Consider the following 18,856-nt stretch of genomic DNA (forward strand, 5'->3'; position numbering starts at 1 on the left):
GAGTGAATACAGCCTTTCTGAAGAAAGAAAAATTAAGTAATAGCAAAATCATTAAGTGTTTATGATTCATAAATACAGTTTTTGTCAACTAAAAAAATAAAATATGTAGAAGTCAAAAAAGTGTCTATGATTCAGAAATGCCACCGTTAGAAGTTGCCATAAGAGTGCACACAAAAAGGACATATGGGTCAAAGTGTTTGCAGCAGTGTTGTCCCAAATAAGGACATTTTGCAACATTGTGGGGTGGTTAAAATAACTATAGAATATGCATTAGAATACAATGAAACCATTAAACATAATGTGGAAGAATATTGTATATTATAGGGAAATGCTCATAATATATAGTGACAATTTAAAAAGCAGATTACAAAACAATATGCCAAGACATGATTTCTGCCCAAGTCTGCCCTGATGGGTGAGCTAACCAAGGTTGCTGCACTGTGAGGGCATAGGGGCTGCCCCTCAGCCCCCACCCCAGCCACTGGGCTCCTCAGGAAAGGACACGTGAGTGTTTACTGCACATCCTACAGATGAGGAGCTCACAAGGACCCTGGATGGGGGAGTCCTCTGAGGTTGCTGGAGCTGCTGCAGCCATCTTGTCACTGCCAGGGGAGAGCTCTCTCTGAGAGCGAAGGCACAGTGGAGGAAAGCAGAACTAAGAAGAGACAGAGAAAGCGAAAGTGGGAGAGAGAGAGAGATATGAGGTGACAAGTGTGGGTCCTTGGATCCTGCTTGGTGTAAAGCTAGCCTGCTCCTGGACTTTACAGATAATAAATTCCTTCCTCATCAGATTAACCTGGGTTTTTGTGGCTTGTAACCAAAAGGGTCTGCACGGCCCACACACAGGCTCCCAGCTCATTTCCTTTGCAATGAGTGGTAACTGGAGGCGGGCGGTGCATGGACCTGCCTTGCAAGGCTTCTCTGTTAGTGGTGCCTGGAGCCCACTCTCTCAGCTGGCACAGCCAGTGTGACACATCAGTCCGGGTGTGTCCTGGACCTACCCCCTTTCTGGGTGCAAACCAGAACTGAGGATGCCGAGGGTGGTGGGGGGGTAGTTTCCTGCCTCAGGGCTGTGCTCCTGCTACCTCTTTGCCTAAAATTCTCCCCTCTCTGTGCTCCCAGGGCCAGCTCCTTTGTATGCTCTGTGATTCTTTGAACAGCGCCCCCTCTGAGAAGCCTTCCCTGACCACCTGGCTGAGGACATCATTCTGTCCCAGCTTCCATTTGCTTTGGGAGTGGCCTCCTGACACTTCACTTCCGTGAGGCAGGGACCAGTTCTGTCCTGGTCACTGCTGTATCCCCAGCTCTAGATAAGGCCTGAGACATCGTAGGAGTGCCAGGGATCTTTGGTTACTGAGAAAACGAGCAGCTAGATCAAGGTTCCCAACACCAACACGCTGGGGACATGTTGGGAGTCAACTTAGCCCTACCAGCAGGTGGAACTAGTTTTGCTGCTCCAAAACAGAGTTCTAGCTATGGGGACAGCCACTAGAGAGCAGAGCTAAGTCCATGCTATGCTGAGGGGCCACAGTCTGCCCTGAACTGTGCCTCCCAGCCTGGAGCTAGTGAGGGGGCCGAGCCTGGGAGCTGACAGATGAGGGCTCGGCGTGGGGACTTTTGGAGGGGAGGGCATTTTCTTGATCTTACCATGGGGGCAACAGCTAGATGGGTAGGGGGGGACCCACTCAAGGACATACTGCGGCTTCAGGCTTCGACCAGCCCAGAACGCTCGCTCCATCTGAGGGTCTTGATATCAGGGTGTGGCGTCAGGAGCCGGAGCCTACGGGTTGAAAGCCAAGAGTGGGCAATCAAAGCTGAAACCAGGCCCACGACTTAGGAGCTGGAGAGCACACAGGGCTGAACACTCGAGTTGGTGACCAGGAAACCAGGGAGCAAAGTCTCCAGGGTGCTTGGGCAAGACCCCAGATGGTCTGCAGCAACGCACGGGCAACACGGGATGATCAGCGCTACGTGGTGAGAAACTTACCTCCTTTTGCAGGACAACATTTTCCAGTCCTTCTGAGTAAATCAAAGAGAAGTCTCAGCTTGGTGATTGCAGGTCTCTAATGCTTATTTCTCTGTCTCTGTCTCTCTCTCTTTTAACAAAAGTCTACCAGCGGCCTCAGGCTCAGGGCCTGTCTCAGGTAAAAGCGGGTTAGGGTGTAATAACAGTGATCGGTTTCATTGTGTTTATTTTTGTAGCTACTTTCTAATTATAGCAAGTGATTCTGAGTTTCCATTTAGGATAGTAATAGGAAGTTTCTTTTTCAAGTAAATGTGCATAAGTAAAAGGAGACTGCTCAAAGGAAAACAGCTGGTGATTGATAGAACAGGCTGTGGCATTGTTGGGCCCCAGAGGGAAGGGCTGTGTGAGCATGCAGGAAATTCTGGGAAGGCAGCTAAATGCAGTTGCTGCATGGGGGCCAGGAAGCATTTGGAGACGTGGCTGGGCACAGCTTGGCTTTTGAGCCCAAGAGAGGCCTGCTGGGGATGTGTTGGGAGCCAACCTACCCCTACCAGCAGGTGGAACTGGTTTTGCCACTCCAAAACAGAGTTCCAGCTATGGGGACAGCCACTAGAGAGCAGAGCTAAGGGCATTCTAGGCCAAGGGGTCACAGTCCACCCTGAACTGTGCCTCCCAGCCTGAAGCCAGAAAGCTCAGGGAGGCTAGCGGCCCTGCCCAGGCCTCAGCACTGACCCTGCACCCCTAGGCCCAGCTGGATGACCCCTAAGAGCTTCCTGGAATTTGGATGCAGGGTTATTCTGTGTGTGCTGCCTCTCAGAGCATGTCACTTTGACGTGGACATCTCGGGTCTGGTTCTGGTGCTGTCCCTGTCTCGCCACGTGACCCTGGATAAGTCATCTCTCCAGGCCTTGATTTCCCCATCTGTAAACAGAGGTGAGTGAAATGATCTTTAAAGGCGTGTCAGTCCATTTTGCATTGCTATAAAGGAATACCTGAGGTTGGGTAGCTTATAAAGAAAAGAGGGTTATTTGGCTCACAGTTGTGCAGGTTGTACAGAAGCATGGCACCAGCATTGCTTCTTGTGAAGCTTCAGGAAGCTTCCACTTATGGTGGAAGGGGAAGGGGGAGTTCGTGACTTACATGGCAAGAGAGGGAGCAAGAGCCATGTCAGGCTCTTCTAAACAACCAGCTCTCATGTAAACTAACAGAGTGAGAACTCATTCATTACCACGGGGAGGGCACCAAGCCATCCATGAGGGACCTGCCCCCATGAGCCAAACATCTCCCACCAGGCCACACCTTCAACACTGGGAGTCACATTCAGCATGAGATTTGGAGGTGACCACCATGCATCCAAACCATATCAAGGACCCATTTCGGTGAGGGGACCAGGAACATATCCCTTCCCCTCTCCTCCACATCCTTTAATGTGGAGTTCAGCAAGGAAAGTAGGGCTTGGGTCAAATTAAAGCCTGGTCTTAATTTCCTGGTCCAGTTATTAGCTGTGTAACCCTGGGCAAGTCACTTAACCCCCTCAGGTTACAATGTTACAAATGATCACATTTTCCTCAACTGAAAAATGGGATAGGAACATGTCCCAAGCAGAGCTGGAGTGACGGTGCTATCAATGGCCCGGCAGTGCCTGGTCACACAGTAGGCCTGGGGAGCCCTGACTTTTACCGCACAGGGAGCTGCTTGCAGAGCTTGTTTTCAATTGTGGGCTTGGCAGGGAACTGCCGGCATCCCAGGGGACAGGGTCTCATGAGGATGCCTAATCCCAGCTCAAAGTGGAGACCCCAGGACTCCATCACAGCCAGTGGGGGGGAGTGGCTGCTGCAGCAGGGAGGGCTTCATTGGAATGAACCCCTTTAAGCTCCAGTCCAAATGCCCAGAGTGGTTTTGCAGGTATGGTTGTGAGGCTGGCATGGTAGTCCCATCTGCAGTCCCCTGGGATGAGGCACCTGTATGGTAGAGGGCCCGGGTGGAGAGAAGAGAAGGATGGGGATGAACCCAGGACCACAGATGGCCCAGTTCCATGGATGATTTTCATTGAGGTGCCTTCAAGTCAGTTCAACACTGGGCTTCTCAACCTTTGAGGTATGCAGGTAAGAGTCACCTGCGGCAGTGGGGGATGCTCTTGTTAAAGTGCAGACTCCGATTAAGCAGGTCTAGGGTGGGGCCTGAAATTCTGTGTTCCTAACAAGGCTCCATCCTGGGTATGGAGGTCAGGTACCCCCTCACCTCTCCTGTGGACCCAGCTTTTGAGGGGTCAGGAGAAGAATGTTCAGTCCCAGCTGCCACCACTCTAAAGTCCCCTAGAAACAAGGACTAATACAGGTGGCGTGGGAGAGGGCCCAGGCAAACAGGGAGGTGGGGTACCCCGGTGGGGCTGCAGTGGGCCCTGCGGAAAGCTTGCTGGAGGTGGGGGCCTAAGGAATTCAAGGACTTGTTCCAGGAACCCAAGGAACGAGTGGGCTCTAACTGCTGCAGCATATGGGAGATGCCAGGAGGAGCTGGCTGTGGCAGGCCATCCCAGTCCATCAGACAACTTGTAGTGGATGAAGATGCAGTGTCCATGGCCAGAAGAAACTCCCGTGGATGCTCAGGCCAAGGCTGCCAGAAGCACGAGGAGGGGCAGCATTGAGTGTCATCGGGAAAAGGCAAAGTGATGGTCCTGAAGCTGCCCCATGTGGCCAGTCCCTTTTTGGGAAGCCTGAATAAATCCATTTCCTGTGCACTGTGTGGGAAGCCAACCCCTCTTCAGAGGTACTTATGGGGAACCCCCCATGTGATTCTATAGGCTCCTTTACTCCCATATAAGTATTTTCTCTCTGTGTGCACCCCCCGCCCCACCCCCCCAACACCCCACACATATCATCTATCTGTGATTTTGAGATGACTTTTTTTTTTCACATTTCAGCACCTCTGAACTCAACAGGATCCTACACTTCTTATAGGCCTGGCTTGATGCTGACATCCTTCAGCCCCAGGGAAGACCTAAAGATCTCCAGGTCTTGAGGCACCTGGAACACCTCCACCTGAGACCACTTTAACATGATTTCTCTGCTTGAGGGATTTTGGACCATGCTGTGTGTATTCAGCCCTAAAACATGGGCGAGTGCCCGCTTGCAGTTCAAATTCTCAGAGGAAGTTCCCTGTACTCCACCCAGTGCCAAGTTTAGTTTGTGCAAATTTCCTTAATGTCCCCTCCTGTACAACAGGCTTATTTGGTGTTAACCCTCATATCGGGGGTCTAACTCTTTGCTTTTCCAGCTTTTGTGCTGGAATATCCCATTAAACTGTCCATGTTGGGTATTTTTTCTTTGTTAGTAAACATTTGTTGCATATTGTTGATAGCATTTTAGATTTGAAGAAATAACTGACAAAATCAATATCATCTGTTTCATCATTACAAATAGACTCATAGCTCTTTAATTTTTCCATTTAACACTTTAATTTTCCATAGGCCTAGATTTTCAAGAAGTCCAATATCTCTCACTTGAAGTGTCTTTTCCCTGGAGTAGATTGGGAGATTTGAGGGATATCTGTCCAAAGATGAGACAGTCTGTTTCTAGTTTCCCATCCAGCCTGATGGGGCGTCTACAGTTTTTACCACAAGGTGTCGCTGTTGAACAGATTCTGGTGCAGTCTAGTGCATAGCTGTCCACTTCTAGAGTGATCACTTGCTGGGCCAAGTTCCTCTCCTTAAGTGGTGTCTCACATTAAGGTTCCCAAATTACAGACTCATTAATTCACCCTAATAAGCTCATCCAGGCAGTTTAGGTCTTCAGGGGCTTCCAGCCTCCAACACACATTGGGCCAAAACCAGCCTGTACCACCAGCTCCAAGCCCTGTGTTGAATCTAGGTCATTGGTCCAGATGCCCCTTCATTCTGGGCCTGTGGTGTCCTTTCCAGACAGCAGACCTCAGTTAAGGGCATCCCAGTCCATCAGAGAAGTTCCAGGATCACAGACCCTCAAAAGGGGCAGTGTTGAGGATTCAGTCTGTTTTCTGCCCAGAGGCCCCATTAAGTATGTTGTATCACCTCCTCCCCAGGCTGTTTCTACATAACCCAGGGAAGCCATTCAGGGAACAGCTGCCTTATGAATGAAAATCCACCCCTAGACAATGTGCTATGCCATCCCAGCCAGAAAAATTGTTGGCAACTTCCCTTGCCAAAAATGCCTGGTATCACAGAATCTTATGCCATTATTGCTTTCTGGTCCAGGGTCCTCCCACCCTTCAAAAGGATGGCATACAACTCCCACCGTGTGTGTGTGTGTGTGTGTGTGTGTGTGTGTGTGTGTGTGTGTAGAGGCTGTTCTTGAGGGCAATAGGTGAGCTTTTGTTTTGCTTTGTCAGGTCTACATGGTAAGGGGGAAGGGCTAGAATACTAAGATAGTATTAGGATAATGGATGGAAATATTTTAAAGCAATTCCAAGGTGGAAGGAACAGAGAGAAAAGCCTTGGAGCAGCTGGAGAGAACTGTCTTCAAGGAAATGGACTAAGTTTTGTCTAGAATGTGTGAGGTAAACTTCTTCTCCAGCTTCCCACAAAGACACTGGTGGGGTGGACACTGCTCTGGACGGTTTTGGCAGTTGGTTTTGTGTTTTGGAGATGAAGTGGCCCTGGCATCAAGAGGACGTGGGACACAAGCAGAGGCTTCCAAGGGGTCCCAGGAGCACCTCTGTCCAATACAGATGGAGAAATTGAGGACCAGAGGAGGGGCTTGTCCAAAGTCACCCAGCGAGTTAGAGCCCCCAGTGGCTTTTCCCATTAAAAATGAACCCCAGGCCAGGGGTGGTGGCTCACACTTGTAACCCCAGTGTTTTGGGAAGCTGAGGCAGGAAGATCATTTAAGGTCAGAAGTTAGAGACCAGCCTGGGCAACAGAGAGACCCTGTCTCTACTAAAAAATTAAAAATTAGCCTGGTGTGGTGGTGTGCACCTGTAATCCCAGCTACTTGGGAGGCTGAGGTGGGAGGATTGCTTGTGCCCAGGAGTTTGAGGCTGCAGTGAGACATAATTGAGCCACTGCACTTCAGTCTGGGTGACAGAGCAAGACTGTCTCAAATAACAAAAAAGAAAAGGAAAAATAAAAAAAAAGAACCCCAAACAGCCCACTGTGAGCCATGGTGACCCCAAATCTCCAGCGTCCCTGCGGGGTCCCAGGCCGGCTCAGTGCAGGTATTCTCGCACAGTGAGCTCCTTCAGGGTGATGCCTCGGGGCGTGGGCCTCCGGAGCTGGCTCTCCTCCAGCCTCTCCTGCAGAGTCACGAAGTCCTTGCCCAGCGCGTAGGCCAGGCGGACCATGGCGTCCAGCAGAGGCGCATAGTAGCGATGGCCCTCCCGGGCCTGCAGGCGCTGCAGGGCCCTCTCTCCGGCCGCGAAGGCCTCGGCGGGGCGGTCGAGGTCGCGGTGGCACAGCAGCACGGCGCACAGGGCCGGGACGGCGGCCGCAGGGCAGTGGGCGGTGAGCTTCTCCTGCAGCGGCAGCACGCGCAGCAGCAGCTCCAGGGCGCGCGGGTACTGGCCGGCCCGCAGGCAGCCGAAAGCCTCGCGCAGCTCCGGCCGCGTGAGGAAGTCCAGGAACTCCCGGGAGCGGCGCACGCAGCGGATGGCGTAGAGCAGGCCCAGGTACTCCTGCAGGGCGCGCCGACGCTCACAGATCATCTCCTCAGCGAAGTTCCCAGTCAGGTGCTTCCTGGGAAACTCCACGTCTTCGATCTCCTCCCTGAACGTCTTCAGCAGCGCTTTCTGGAGCTTCGCGAAGTCGGAATAGCGCCGTTCCAGGACGGCCTTGTTGTTGTCAAAGCTCCCAGTCTGGATGACGATGATTTGGTACACCTAGGGCGCAACCAGAGAGAGCTGTGGCCACCTCCCGGCGGGGGCTGCGGCGGACGGAGCACACCCAGAGTAAAGTTAACCAGGCCGGTGTAAAGCATGCCCTGAAAACGGGCGATCCTTATATGCAATTGTTTGTTTGTTTGTTTGTTTGTTTGTTTATTTATTTATTTATTTATTTATTTATTTATTTTTAGAGACAGGGTCTCGCACTGTTACCCAGGCTGGAGTACAGTGATGCGATCATACCTCACTGCAACCTTGAACTTATGGGCTCAATTGACCTGCCCACCTGAGCCTCCTGAGTAGCTGGGACTACAGGCACACCCACTACCTGGCAGATTTTTTGATTTTTTTTAAAAGATGGGGTCTGGCTGTGTTGCCCAGGCTGGTCTCCAACTCCTGGGCTCAAGCGATCCTCCTACCTGGGCCTCCCAAAGTGCTGGGATTACAGGCATGAGCCACTGCACCTGGCCCAATTCTGTTTTAAATTGCTATTGGCATCAGCTGAGTCAACCCTGGAACAACAACACAGCAAGGTGGGGACATCTGGGAGGAGAAAGGGCAGAGGGTCCTGCCCTGCAGGCTGCTGGGGTCCCTCTTGGCTTTACTTGCTAAAACTGGGCCTCTGTTTTCTGAACTGAGATGCTGTGTTTTCCAAATGTTTCACACTTGGGAATTAGTTTTACGTACAATATAACATCATTTAGGTACACTGGTGATGCCGTTATATGGTAAGAAAATCAATCCTTTTCAATCATCTTTCAAGAGAATCCTGATTACGGGCAATTATATATTAAGGGCAATTATAACCCATGCATCTGACTCCAGAGCCAGATTGCATGGGTTGTAATTATAGCCCTACCATGGTCTAGCTGTGTGGTTTTAGATGAGTAATTTAACCTCTCCGAGTCTCACTTTTCTCATTCATAAAACAAGGATAGGCATAGTGCCTACCTCACCCAGTGAGGATTAAATGAGTTAATGCACTGAAACCACATGGAGCTGTGCCCGGCATGCCATTGGCATTCAGTGGTAGCTATGTTATTTATCCCGGTCCCAGGTAAGTGAAGGAGAAGGATGAAGTGTGGCTCTTAGGCAGTCTTTAACATCCCTTAACACAAGCTAAAATTCCATTCTAACAGGGAGAGGAGCAGCTCCCAGGCACAGGGCTTTCCCGAAGCCACAGTAACCAGCTAGAATTTAATAACAGCACATAGCTTTCCTTGTATTGACTTTCCTTGTATCGACTTTTCTAGTATGTTACTTTTGCTTTGTGCCATGTGATATTGGTTTTCCATTTAAGGTATTTCTCTTTGAAATAAATGTGCTTCATGTTTTTAAAAAGTGATCCAATTTAAAGAAAAAAATAAGTAATAATAATTAGAACAGATACAGTGATATGGCAAAATTGGTGAAGAAAGGACACAGGTGACTGACACCTGATAAGATGGGATTAAACTGGGCTATTTCCTTCTTGGGACCAAGAAATATGACTTATATGGTTCGAATCCTCACAGACCCTAGCAGGTGCTGAGCCTGAAATCTTGCTCTTTGGCCATTTTCTCCAGAAGAAAGCTGTGAGTTAGTGTGTTGACCCATTTCATAGTTGGGAAACCTGAGGCTCTACAAGACTTATTCAGGGCCAGGAAGGAAGCAGAGTGAAAGAGGCTCCACCATTTCCCAATCTCTGCTTACCACAAACTTAGAGACTTTTCTCTCCTCGATGCGAGCTGAAGCGATCTCAAAGAGCAGTTTGACGTGCTTCCAGCGGCATTTCTGGTTCTGCCAGTACTGCTGAAGCTCCCGCGTGGTCATGCTGGAGTTGGAGCTCAGGCCACTGTGTGTGTCTGGAAGGACAACACCCTTAAGGATCTGCACCCTGTCAGTGCACTTCCGAGGCATGGGCTTGGGGAGATGGCTGGGTCTATCTGAGATGGCATATCAGAACTCCTGAAGAGTATTGAATATCCCTCTCTCCCACCCCGCCATTTATAGGCCCAATTGGGGCATCAGACAGACCTCTGTGCCCAGCCTGGCAGAATCCACCCTACCACCGACAATCCCAAATAGCCCATCACCCCCAAGTGGTTTCACAGCTTTGGAATGCGGTGCGGGCACTTTGCATCGTCCACTTCTGGTCTGTAGATTGGCCATGGTGAAATCCCTGCTCTGGACAAGCAGAGACGGTGGCTTGTGTGTTTCTGTGCTCCCTGCAGCCCTGACTTCGTGACTGTTGCCACGACTCCTTGAGCACACATCAGTGGGCAGGGGAGGCAGTGAGGAGGATGTTATGTTCCAGCCTCAGCGGGCTGGCCCTTCCTAACCTTCTCATCTAACTGCCCACATGCCGGGCTCTTCTCGGACGTGCACTGCTCTGCCTTGCATCCAACCCTCTATTTCCACGCCTGGAAAACGAACACAGTGTTTCTTAAACCCCACTTGAGCCCTGCGCCACTCTGAGGTTCTTAAGAAGCACAAATAATTGTGCATTTTATTGCAAAGGGCATGGGTCCCAGCCCTTTTCCAGTCTACCCTTCAAGACCCAGCCCCCACATCACTGCAAATGCCCCTTGGCATTAGAGTAAGAGCTTCCCACCTTGTTCCTACAGGTTTTTCATTTTATTTATTTATTTCTCGTGGCACGTGTAACTGTTTCTCACTGATCTGTTTCTCTACCAAACCTCAGGACTAGTGCAGTGTTTGATTTCTTCCTGTTTCTGTTTCTCCAGTGCCCTGCATAGGGCCAGGAACAGAGCAGGTATTGAATAGGGCATCTCGAAGGACTGTAAGAAAAGATCTGTTCCAGGAGATGGCACTACAGCAGATGCTGTCCATGCCCCAGGCTGGACCGTGCCCTCTTGGCACCCACTTTTCCAGAACATGCCACTGGCTTCCCTGAGGGCTTTCTAGGGCCATAGCAGCAGGCCCAGGAGCGTCCCTTCTCCTATGCAGGGCAGGACTGGTAGATAACAGCCCGGCTTCCTCACCCCTAGGATAGGACAACCCAGAGATATGTTCCAGGGTCTCCCAGAAGACCCCCGCTGGGGTTGAGCTTCAGCCACCTACCGTGCCTATCTGTTCACTGATGTCCTGCCCTGGCCTCTTGCCCTTTCCTTCCATTCCCACTCCCCTGCCATGACTCCTAGGACCGTCTCCCGGATAAACAGCTTGCACTAGATCTGTGTCTCAGTGTCTGTTTTGGGATAACCCAAGTTACAAGAGCTGCCCGGGCCTCTTGCTGCATCCCCCAAAGTGACCCACATTTGTACTTTGAATGTCTTCAGACCTCTCCCCCAGACCGAGTCTCAAGCCTCAAGCCCACCTAAGTGCCCGTCAGGTCCTGGGTGCGGGAGGTCGGGGCCAGTGGCTGGTGCTTCCTGCTGGGTCCTTGCCGTGCACTGGGTTATGGGTCCCATGCAGCCAGGGCTCCCAGGGTGCTCTGGACTTGCCATGCTCCAAGGCTGCCAGAGGAAAAAGAGAACAGTGAGGACCCACTCCAGTTGGGGTTCCCGGTGGCTCCTGGGGTGCCTAGGAGCTGTGTCATGCCCCCTCCTGGCAGGCAGAGGGAATGACAAGGGCCCCACGGCTCAACCTTCCCCACTCTCCCAGCTGCCAGATCCCAAATCTGGGTCTGCCCCTTTGCTGGGCAGGTTACTCCAAGGCAGAGAAGACCCTTCACCTATTGCGATGATCCATATGTTATTGAGGTGATCCTTACGTATTGCTCAGAGTTTTAAATGAGATGATTTCAAGTAAAAGTATTGGCTTTAGTGATTACTTGAAAGAAAGATGCTGGCTTGTCTAGATACTCAGTTTTATGTTACACATGCGAATGAAGTCTCAGTGTTCAAGTTGAACATGGCCACTCATGCCTGTAATCCCAGCGCTTTGGGAGGCTGGGTTAGAAGGATCACTTGAGCCCAGGAATTTGAGACCAGCCTGGCCAATGTAGTGAGACCCCGTCTCTAGAAAAAATAAAAAAAAATTATCCAGGATGCACGCCTGTGGTCCCAGCTACTTGGGAGGCTGAGACAGGAGGATCCCTTAAGCCCAAGAGACTGAGGCTGCAGTGAGCTATGATGATGCCACTGCACTCCAGTCTGGGTGACAGAACAAGACCATCTCAAAAAGAAAAAAAGAAAGGTCAGTGTTCAGAGCAGGTAGATACTGGTATGAATCTTCTATCGATCAATCAATCAATAATCTATCTATCAGCAAAATTAACTGATAGCTTATTATACCCACTTCATACCCATCTAGGTTCTCCATAGCCCCTAATCTAGTTTAATGCTCACAAAAGTCTATCATTACCACCACATAACAGATGAGAAAACTGAGGTCTAAAGTCACGCAGCTGGTGAGTGTGCGCAACAAGCAAAGCTGAATTTGTCTCCAGTGCTTGTGACGTGCTGGCTGTGCACTTCACACCCAGCACACACTCTTGCACTAACCTGAACACTGTCTGCACTCAGGACTGTTTACATCTCCCTTTTATGATAAGGGAACTGAGACTTAGAGTTGCCAAAGATGAGGAGCTGGTGAGTGGTGGGCAGGATACAGACCCAGGCTGGGCTGACTTCAGAATTCTCTCCACCTTACTCAGGGAGGGAGAACAGGCAGCTGGGATCTGGTTTACATAATAACTCTGTCTGTGACCCGGATAAGTGGAAGGGATGACCTGGTAGCTGGCAAGTGACTCAACTTCTCTGTGCTTCTGTTTCCTATAAATTGGGGATAATAACAGAACCCACGTTCACAAGGCTGGGGTGAGGATTCAGTCAGGCAGACTCTGAAGCCTCAGCTCAGGGCCCTGTCCATCCCAGGGACTGTGTAGTACCCCCGCTTTTAGTGTCTGTTAAGTGCTAGATGTTTCCAGAAATATTTGTGAAATAAATGACTAAATTAAGGTGGATTGGAATAGAATTACAAATGTTTGAGACAACTTAGAGAAAGGGACAATTAAAACATTAGATCGGCTGGAGGGAGTAGCTGGTATACTGACTGGTTAGGCATGGAAATTCAAGACAAGGAAGGTGCAAATGACCTGAGGAAGCTGCCAGTGGAACATAGAGGTAGAGCTGGGACTTGAACTCTGATCTGTTGGATTCTGGGCTCTTGGTCTGAACCCCTGGGCTGACTACGGCCTAGAGAAAGATAGAGCCAGTGCCTCCCTGGCACCCCCTGAGCACAGATGGGGGCGGGAGTCATGCATGTCCCTGAGCACAGCCAGCGCCTGTCCCTTGCTCCAGGGGTGAGAGCCGCTGGCCTGGGAGAGGGGAGGTCAGCTGGGGCCTGGAGCCTGCACTTCAGGGGGAAGTGCTTGCTGTGTCGGGTGAAAGGAACCCTGGGGCCTTCTCCGTTTGGCTCTGCACAGCCATCCAGTGGGCGGCCCTCAGGGACCCTCGATCCAACCTCACCTTTTACAGATGGGCAAACAGAGGCACGGAGCAGGGGCCTGGCTGGCCCAGGGCTGCACGTTCTTGAGCATGCCGTCACGGGCACCTCTCGCTTGTCTCTTGTGCCTGTCAGGGAGTCAGGAGACATCGCCTTCCATCCTGACCAACCGTGTGTCCTTAAGCAAGTGCTTTAATATCTCTAGGCTTCAGTTTCCCTACCTGATAAATGTGGCTACAAGCCCCGTCCTGTTGATAAGATGATGGATGACTAGGGGTGGGTTCCCTACATTCTGACTGGTGCCTAAGTGAGACAGTGGATGGTTTACGTGATTCTTGGTGGCTGGGATTCTTGGGGGCCCAGGGCACTCCTATGCTCAGCACTTCTGTAAAATGGGTGATGGCGAGTGGCCTTGGCCTCAGGGGCCCCAGCCTTTGCAGATCTGCTTTCATGACCAGGCAGCTGGCTCCAGGTCAGAAGCAGGGCACTATTGGCCCAGAGACCCTGTAAGACCCTAGAAATGATGCCTCGGCTTGACACTCCAGTAAAGACTGAGAAAGCTGATTATAAAACCAGGCCTTAGAATAAAATCAAATTCAGCAGCCACAGTCAGCTCCCTTATGGTTGTCTCTTACAGGTTTCATTGGGAGTCACCCATTTAAAGAGGAGGGGGAAGGAAAGAGTTGTGCACTGGTGTATCCATGGGGCCTTGGGTAGCTTCCCATCCCTCTCCAGGCCTCAGTTTCCTCATCTGTGAAATGGGAAAGCAATCCTGTCACTCTAAAAGCTCTCTGGGGATAGCCACATAGACGGTTCCATGGCCCTTTCCTTCCCTCTCCTCACCCTCTGTAGCAAAGATTTCTTGACTTTATAACAAAATACTAAAAGTGTTGTTGCTGTTGGCCTGGGGGCCTGTAGTTGGCCCAGGGGACAGAGCAGCTTCCCAGCCTCCTCTGCCTTCCAGCCGTGTGTGCACAGACAGTCATTCTCCTCCTCCTGTCCCCAGGTGTCCTAACCACCCCCTCTCCAAGAGCTGACTGCCAAGTCCAGTCCTTCTTCTGCTGGGCACACAGAGGCCACACTATCTTTCTGAGGGCCTGCGGAGGACTTTTCATGGGGGATGAGCCTCTAGGGGGTGAAATAAAGCACATGGCCCACGCTGGGAGACAGAGATCCCAGGATGTTGGATGTGTGGCTGCCTCTCTTGGGGAAAGGGTGGGTACCCTCCAACAACTGGACGCTCACCTGAGAAGCCTTGCCAAAGCCAGGGGCTCCCAACCCAGTGTGTGTAAGAATCCCCTGGTGGGGTGGGGGTGGGATCCCAGGGGCTTGTCCAAGAGCAGGTTTCCTGGCTGCTAACATAGGAAGGTGCCATTGAACAGGCCTGGATTCTGCATTTTCCATGAGTCCTCTAAGGCTGTGCTGAGGCAGGGGTTCCCTGACACTGTTCTTTTGAGAAACACAGGTGTGGTGACTTATTCTCCAGGCCCAAGATGGGTTGTACAAGCGCCTAGCATTTCAAAAGGAATGGAGGTGATGGAAGGTCCAGGAGCTGTCCCTTCCTCTGCCTCAGTGTGCTAAGGAGAGCTCCAGACACAGTGGCTGTCACTAACTCTTCCCCCTCCCACCCTGCCCCCAGCAGGTGCCAGGCAGGGCCCCAGGAGAAGGGGACTCAGGCCACAGCAGGCAGAGGACAGCTGAGCTTGGGATCAAATACTGACCTCCAGTCTCCAGGGCTGTGTGTGTCCAGGGGTCCGGGAGGAGTGTCATATGGCCCCTTCGAGCTCTTGGTTCTCAGCTCCGGCGACAAGCCGAGGGGCTGCCACTTTCTAAGTTCCCCGTTTGAAAACAGGAAACAGGCTGTGTGACCTGCTTCTGATCGCCCCAGCCCATTGGCTGGTGAAACATGGTATATTGAACTCAACTGCCAGCCTGCCAGCTGTACCCACCTCTTCTTCCGGGTAGCGCAGGGAAGGGCAAGGCGGTGTGGGGCCAGCCCTGTGGGATTTAGCTCAGCCTCACTTTCCCTGCCGCCTTGCAGAGGTCTGGCTGTCCTTCGAGTCCCCGTTGATCTCTGGAATTCAGGCATTAGCTCCCAGAGCCCTTTAACATTCATTATTCTACTCTATGAGCTAGGCATGATGGGGGCCGTCATGCCCCTTGAACAGATGGGAAAACCGAGGCTTGGATCACAGAGCTGGTGGGACACAGAGCCAGTGACTGACATAGAAGAGCAGTGGGGTAGAATTACAGTTCCATCTGGTGCCTTTTCTCTGAGCAAAGCTGTATCCATCACCACCAACAGAAAGTCCCAGGGAAGCGAAACCCCAGGGCAGTGTGGTGTGATTCATGCCCACCCATCTTTGTGGCCTTGAAGGCAAGAAACAGAAATCAGACAAAAAAAAAAAAAATAGAACTTTGCTGGCTCGCCCAGAAGTTTGCCATGTGTTTTTTTTTGAGCCATGATTCCCTTCCTCCCTATTAGAGGCAGTCACAGTCCTGATTCAGATGGGGGTTACTTCTTGGCTTTTCCTTAGAAATTTACCACCTATGAGATCCCCAAACAATTCAGTTTCATTTTACTCATCTGTGAATCTTATATAAATTGAACCATGCATACTGTGTGTATTCTCCAGTGCCTTGCTTCTTTCATGCAACATTTATGGGTATAAGATTCACTGATGCATTTCTGTGTAGATACTTTTTTTCATTTCCATTGTTGTGTTGCTACATTATTATTATTATTTATTTTACTTTAAGTTCTGGGATACCAGTGTAGAACCTGCAGGTTTGTTACATAGGTATATATGTGCCGTGGTGGTTTGCTGTACCTATCAACCCATCATCTAGGTTTTAAGCCCTGCATGCATTAGGTATTTGTCTTAATGCTCTCCTTCCCCCTGGCCCCCACCCCTGACAGGCCCCAGCGTGTGATGTTCCCCTCCCTGTGTCCATGTGTTCTCACTGTTCAACTCCCACTTATGAGTGAGAACATGCTGTGTTTGGTTTTCTGTTGCTTCATTATTTAAATACATCACCATTTGTCATTTTTTGTTTTGTCTTTTGATGCACACTTGGGTTGTTCCTAGGGTGGCCATCATGATCAATGCCACTGATGATATTCTTACACATTTATCCAAGTCCATGTACTTATCTGAGGTGAAATTGCTGGGTCTCAGAGTATAGATAGCTTCAACTGTGCTAGATTACGCCAAATATTTTCCACAGTGGCTGTGCCATTTTGTATTCCCACCAGCAGTATATGAGAATTCCAGGTGCTCCACCTTCTTACCTGCACTTGATATGGTCATTATTATAATTATTTTAAAGATGGGGTCTTGCTCTATCACCCAGGCTGGAGTGCAATGGTACCATCATAGCTGACTGCAACCTAGAACTCCTGGGCTCAAATGATCCTCCCACCTCAGCCTCCTGAGTGGCTAAGACTACAGTTACGTCACCATGCTTGGCTAATAAATTTTTTTTGTTTCTGGAGGGATAGACCATCATGGCCACTATGTTGCCCAGGCTGGTCTTGAACTCCTGGCCCCAAGCAATCCTCCTGCCTTGGGCTCCCAAAGTACTGAGATTACCAATGTGAGCCACTGTGTCTGGTTTGGTCAGTGTTTTTCAGTGTACCACTGCATTAATGTGCAGTGGTCTCTCATCAAGGTTTTAAGTTGCATTTCCCTAAGGACTAATGATGTTGAGCATCTTTTCATGGGCTTATTTGCCATCCTTATACCTTCTCCAATGAAGTGTCTGTTCAAGGTCATTGCTCATTATTGACTTGATTATTTTTAATGGTTTGTAGGTGTTCTTTATGTATTCATTTGGGTTTATGTGCTTCTCAATATCCTTTTCCATCCTGCAGTTTGCATTTTGTACTCTCTTAATGGAGTTTTGTGACGAATAGAAGTTGTCAACTTTAAAGAACCATATTAGTCCTTTGATATGGTTGAATTTCAACTTTCCTAATTGCAACATGAAATTTAATGAAGTCCTCCTAGTGCCAAAACATTCCGCCTTGAGCCAGTGTCATCCTTGGAGGGCATGAAGGTTTCTCCTGTATTTGCTTCTGCAACAAGCTCATAGGCTTGTGAACCTCAAGAGGAGTTCAGATGAGCCAAACACTTAGAACAACACTGTTCCGAGCTGTACAAGTGCTGGCAGTTCTTACTATTCTAAAACCGTTGCTGCTTGTCTTTTTCATTGGAGGCTCTATAATGTCCCTGTTTACCTATTGACCTTGCTTATTGACATGGCCCTGCAATTCCACCTCTCTGCAGTGCCGTCACTGTCATTAAGAACCTCCACATCTGCAAAGGTCTGTCTCTGGGCAGAGCTCACGAGGAGTGCCATGAGTGGTGTGCCTCTGGCCTGCTAGCTGGGGCACCCCGTAAGTGCAGGGGCCATAGGTCGGTCATCTCCGCCTCCCCCTGCCCAGCAGAGGGCCTGGTGGTGTGGCTCCCTGCATACAGTGAGGCTGGAATGCCCTCTCCTCCCTGGGTTGTGTCCCGTAACTTTCCAGTTTTCTCGCCTACTCTCTGCCCAGGCCTGGAATCTGCAAGACACCAGGGTGGACTCTAAGCCTTTCTCTGCAGCCCTGTGAGCCTCTCATGCTGCAGAAGGCAACCACAGGGGAAAAATGTGTGGTTGCCGCCACTTCCTCTTATGGGGAAAGGAGACGTTTCTTGGAAACCCCCTGATGGAGAGGGGCCTGGCCTATGTCGGTAGGACCCAGCTGAGCCAGAGTGACCGGAAGATGCCACGCATGGCCACCTGTTGGATGTTGCTTTTTCTCTGCAGCCAGAGTTCTCTGTGGTGGAGGCAGAAGGCATAGGTAGTGTCTTAGCTTGGGCTGCTGTAGCAACACACCGCAGACTGGGCGGCCTAAACAACAGACATCTCTTTCCCACAGTTTTGGAGGCTGGGAAGGCCAAGATCAACGTGTTAACAGATTCAGTATATGGGGAGGGTTTGATTCCTGGTTTGCAGATGGCTGCCTTCTTGTTCTATCCTCCCATGGCAGAATGAGGGCTAGAGAGTGCTCAGGGATCTCTAACCTCATGGCCTAATTACCTCTTAAAGGCCTCACCTTTTTCATTAGGAATTCAATATATGAACTATATGAACTTGGAGGCCACATACTCAGTTCATAACAGGCAGACAAGGTCCCATCGTCATGCGGGGGACACAGGAGTGGGCATCCTCCATTGCAGCGCTGAAGCCAGATGGCGAGGAGGGTCACCACGAGGCACCAGGAGTGAGAAAGGGGAAATACTAGTAGTGTCTCAGAATCTGATGCCTCTCCTAGAATTCAAAATCAGAGCACCTCTCCATCTTATTTGGACCCTTCAGTGGCCTCCCACCACATTCAGAGTAAATCCGAACTCTCTGCTGAGGCTTCCATGATCTGCCGCTTACCGTTTGTCACTCGGTCCACTCCCAGTGTCACCTACCACACACCAGCCAACCCAGACTGCTCTCTGTTGCTCAAACGTGCCTTTGTTTTCGCAGTTCCTTCAGCTGGAAATACCCTCCGCTTGGTTTTTCCATCTCTGGCTTATCTCATCTCATCTCATCTCATCTCATCTCATCTCATCTCATCTCATCTCATCTCATCATCTCATCTCATCTCATGAAGCA

General features: G+C 50.4%; 1 protein-coding gene and 1 long non-coding RNA gene across 4 annotated transcripts, besides 2 other annotated features; one reads left to right on the top strand and one right to left on the bottom strand.

The window, feature by feature from the left end:
• Positions 1 to 38: 38 nt before the first annotated feature.
• SNX20 (sorting nexin 20) lies at positions 39 to 15,051 on the bottom strand. Of its 3 annotated transcripts, none has more exons than NM_001144972.2 (4): positions 14,929 to 15,051; positions 11,136 to 11,274; positions 9,509 to 9,660; positions 39 to 1,780 (listed from the first exon to the last, which is right to left on the bottom strand). In NM_001144972.2, exons 2-4 carry the CDS (start codon positions 11,263 to 11,265, stop codon positions 1,754 to 1,756), a joined length of 309 nt encoding a protein of 102 aa, NP_001138444.1. In that variant the 5' UTR covers positions 11,266 to 11,274; positions 14,929 to 15,051; the 3' UTR covers positions 39 to 1,753. The 3 variants fall into 3 exon arrangements, with proteins under 3 accessions (NP_001138444.1, NP_699168.1, NP_878274.1); NM_153337.3 differs by having other exon boundaries at positions 39 to 2,887; NM_182854.4 differs by lacking the exon at positions 39 to 1,780 and adding an exon at positions 5,368 to 7,813.
• Positions 521 to 1,040: an enhancer, noted in NCBI's record as "active region_10820". NCBI's record gives its function as "activates an Ori minimal core promoter by ATAC-STARR-seq in GM12878 lymphoblastoid cells {active_cell/tissue: GM12878}" and the evidence as "EXISTENCE:reporter gene assay evidence [ECO:0000049][PMID:35858748]".
• LOC101927272 (uncharacterized) lies at positions 2,594 to 5,378 on the top strand. Its single transcript, NR_110908.1, has 3 exons — positions 2,594 to 2,899; positions 4,422 to 4,732; positions 4,887 to 5,378. It is a non-coding gene; the product is annotated as an uncharacterized LOC101927272 (long non-coding RNA).
• Positions 17,755 to 18,104: an enhancer, noted in NCBI's record as "active region_10821". NCBI's record gives its function as "activates an Ori minimal core promoter by ATAC-STARR-seq in GM12878 lymphoblastoid cells {active_cell/tissue: GM12878}" and the evidence as "EXISTENCE:reporter gene assay evidence [ECO:0000049][PMID:35858748]".

The sequence above is a fragment of the Homo sapiens genome, chromosome 16 (assembly GCF_000001405.40).
Source record: "Homo sapiens chromosome 16, GRCh38.p14 Primary Assembly".
Lineage (NCBI taxonomy): Eukaryota > Metazoa > Chordata > Mammalia > Primates > Hominidae > Homo > Homo sapiens.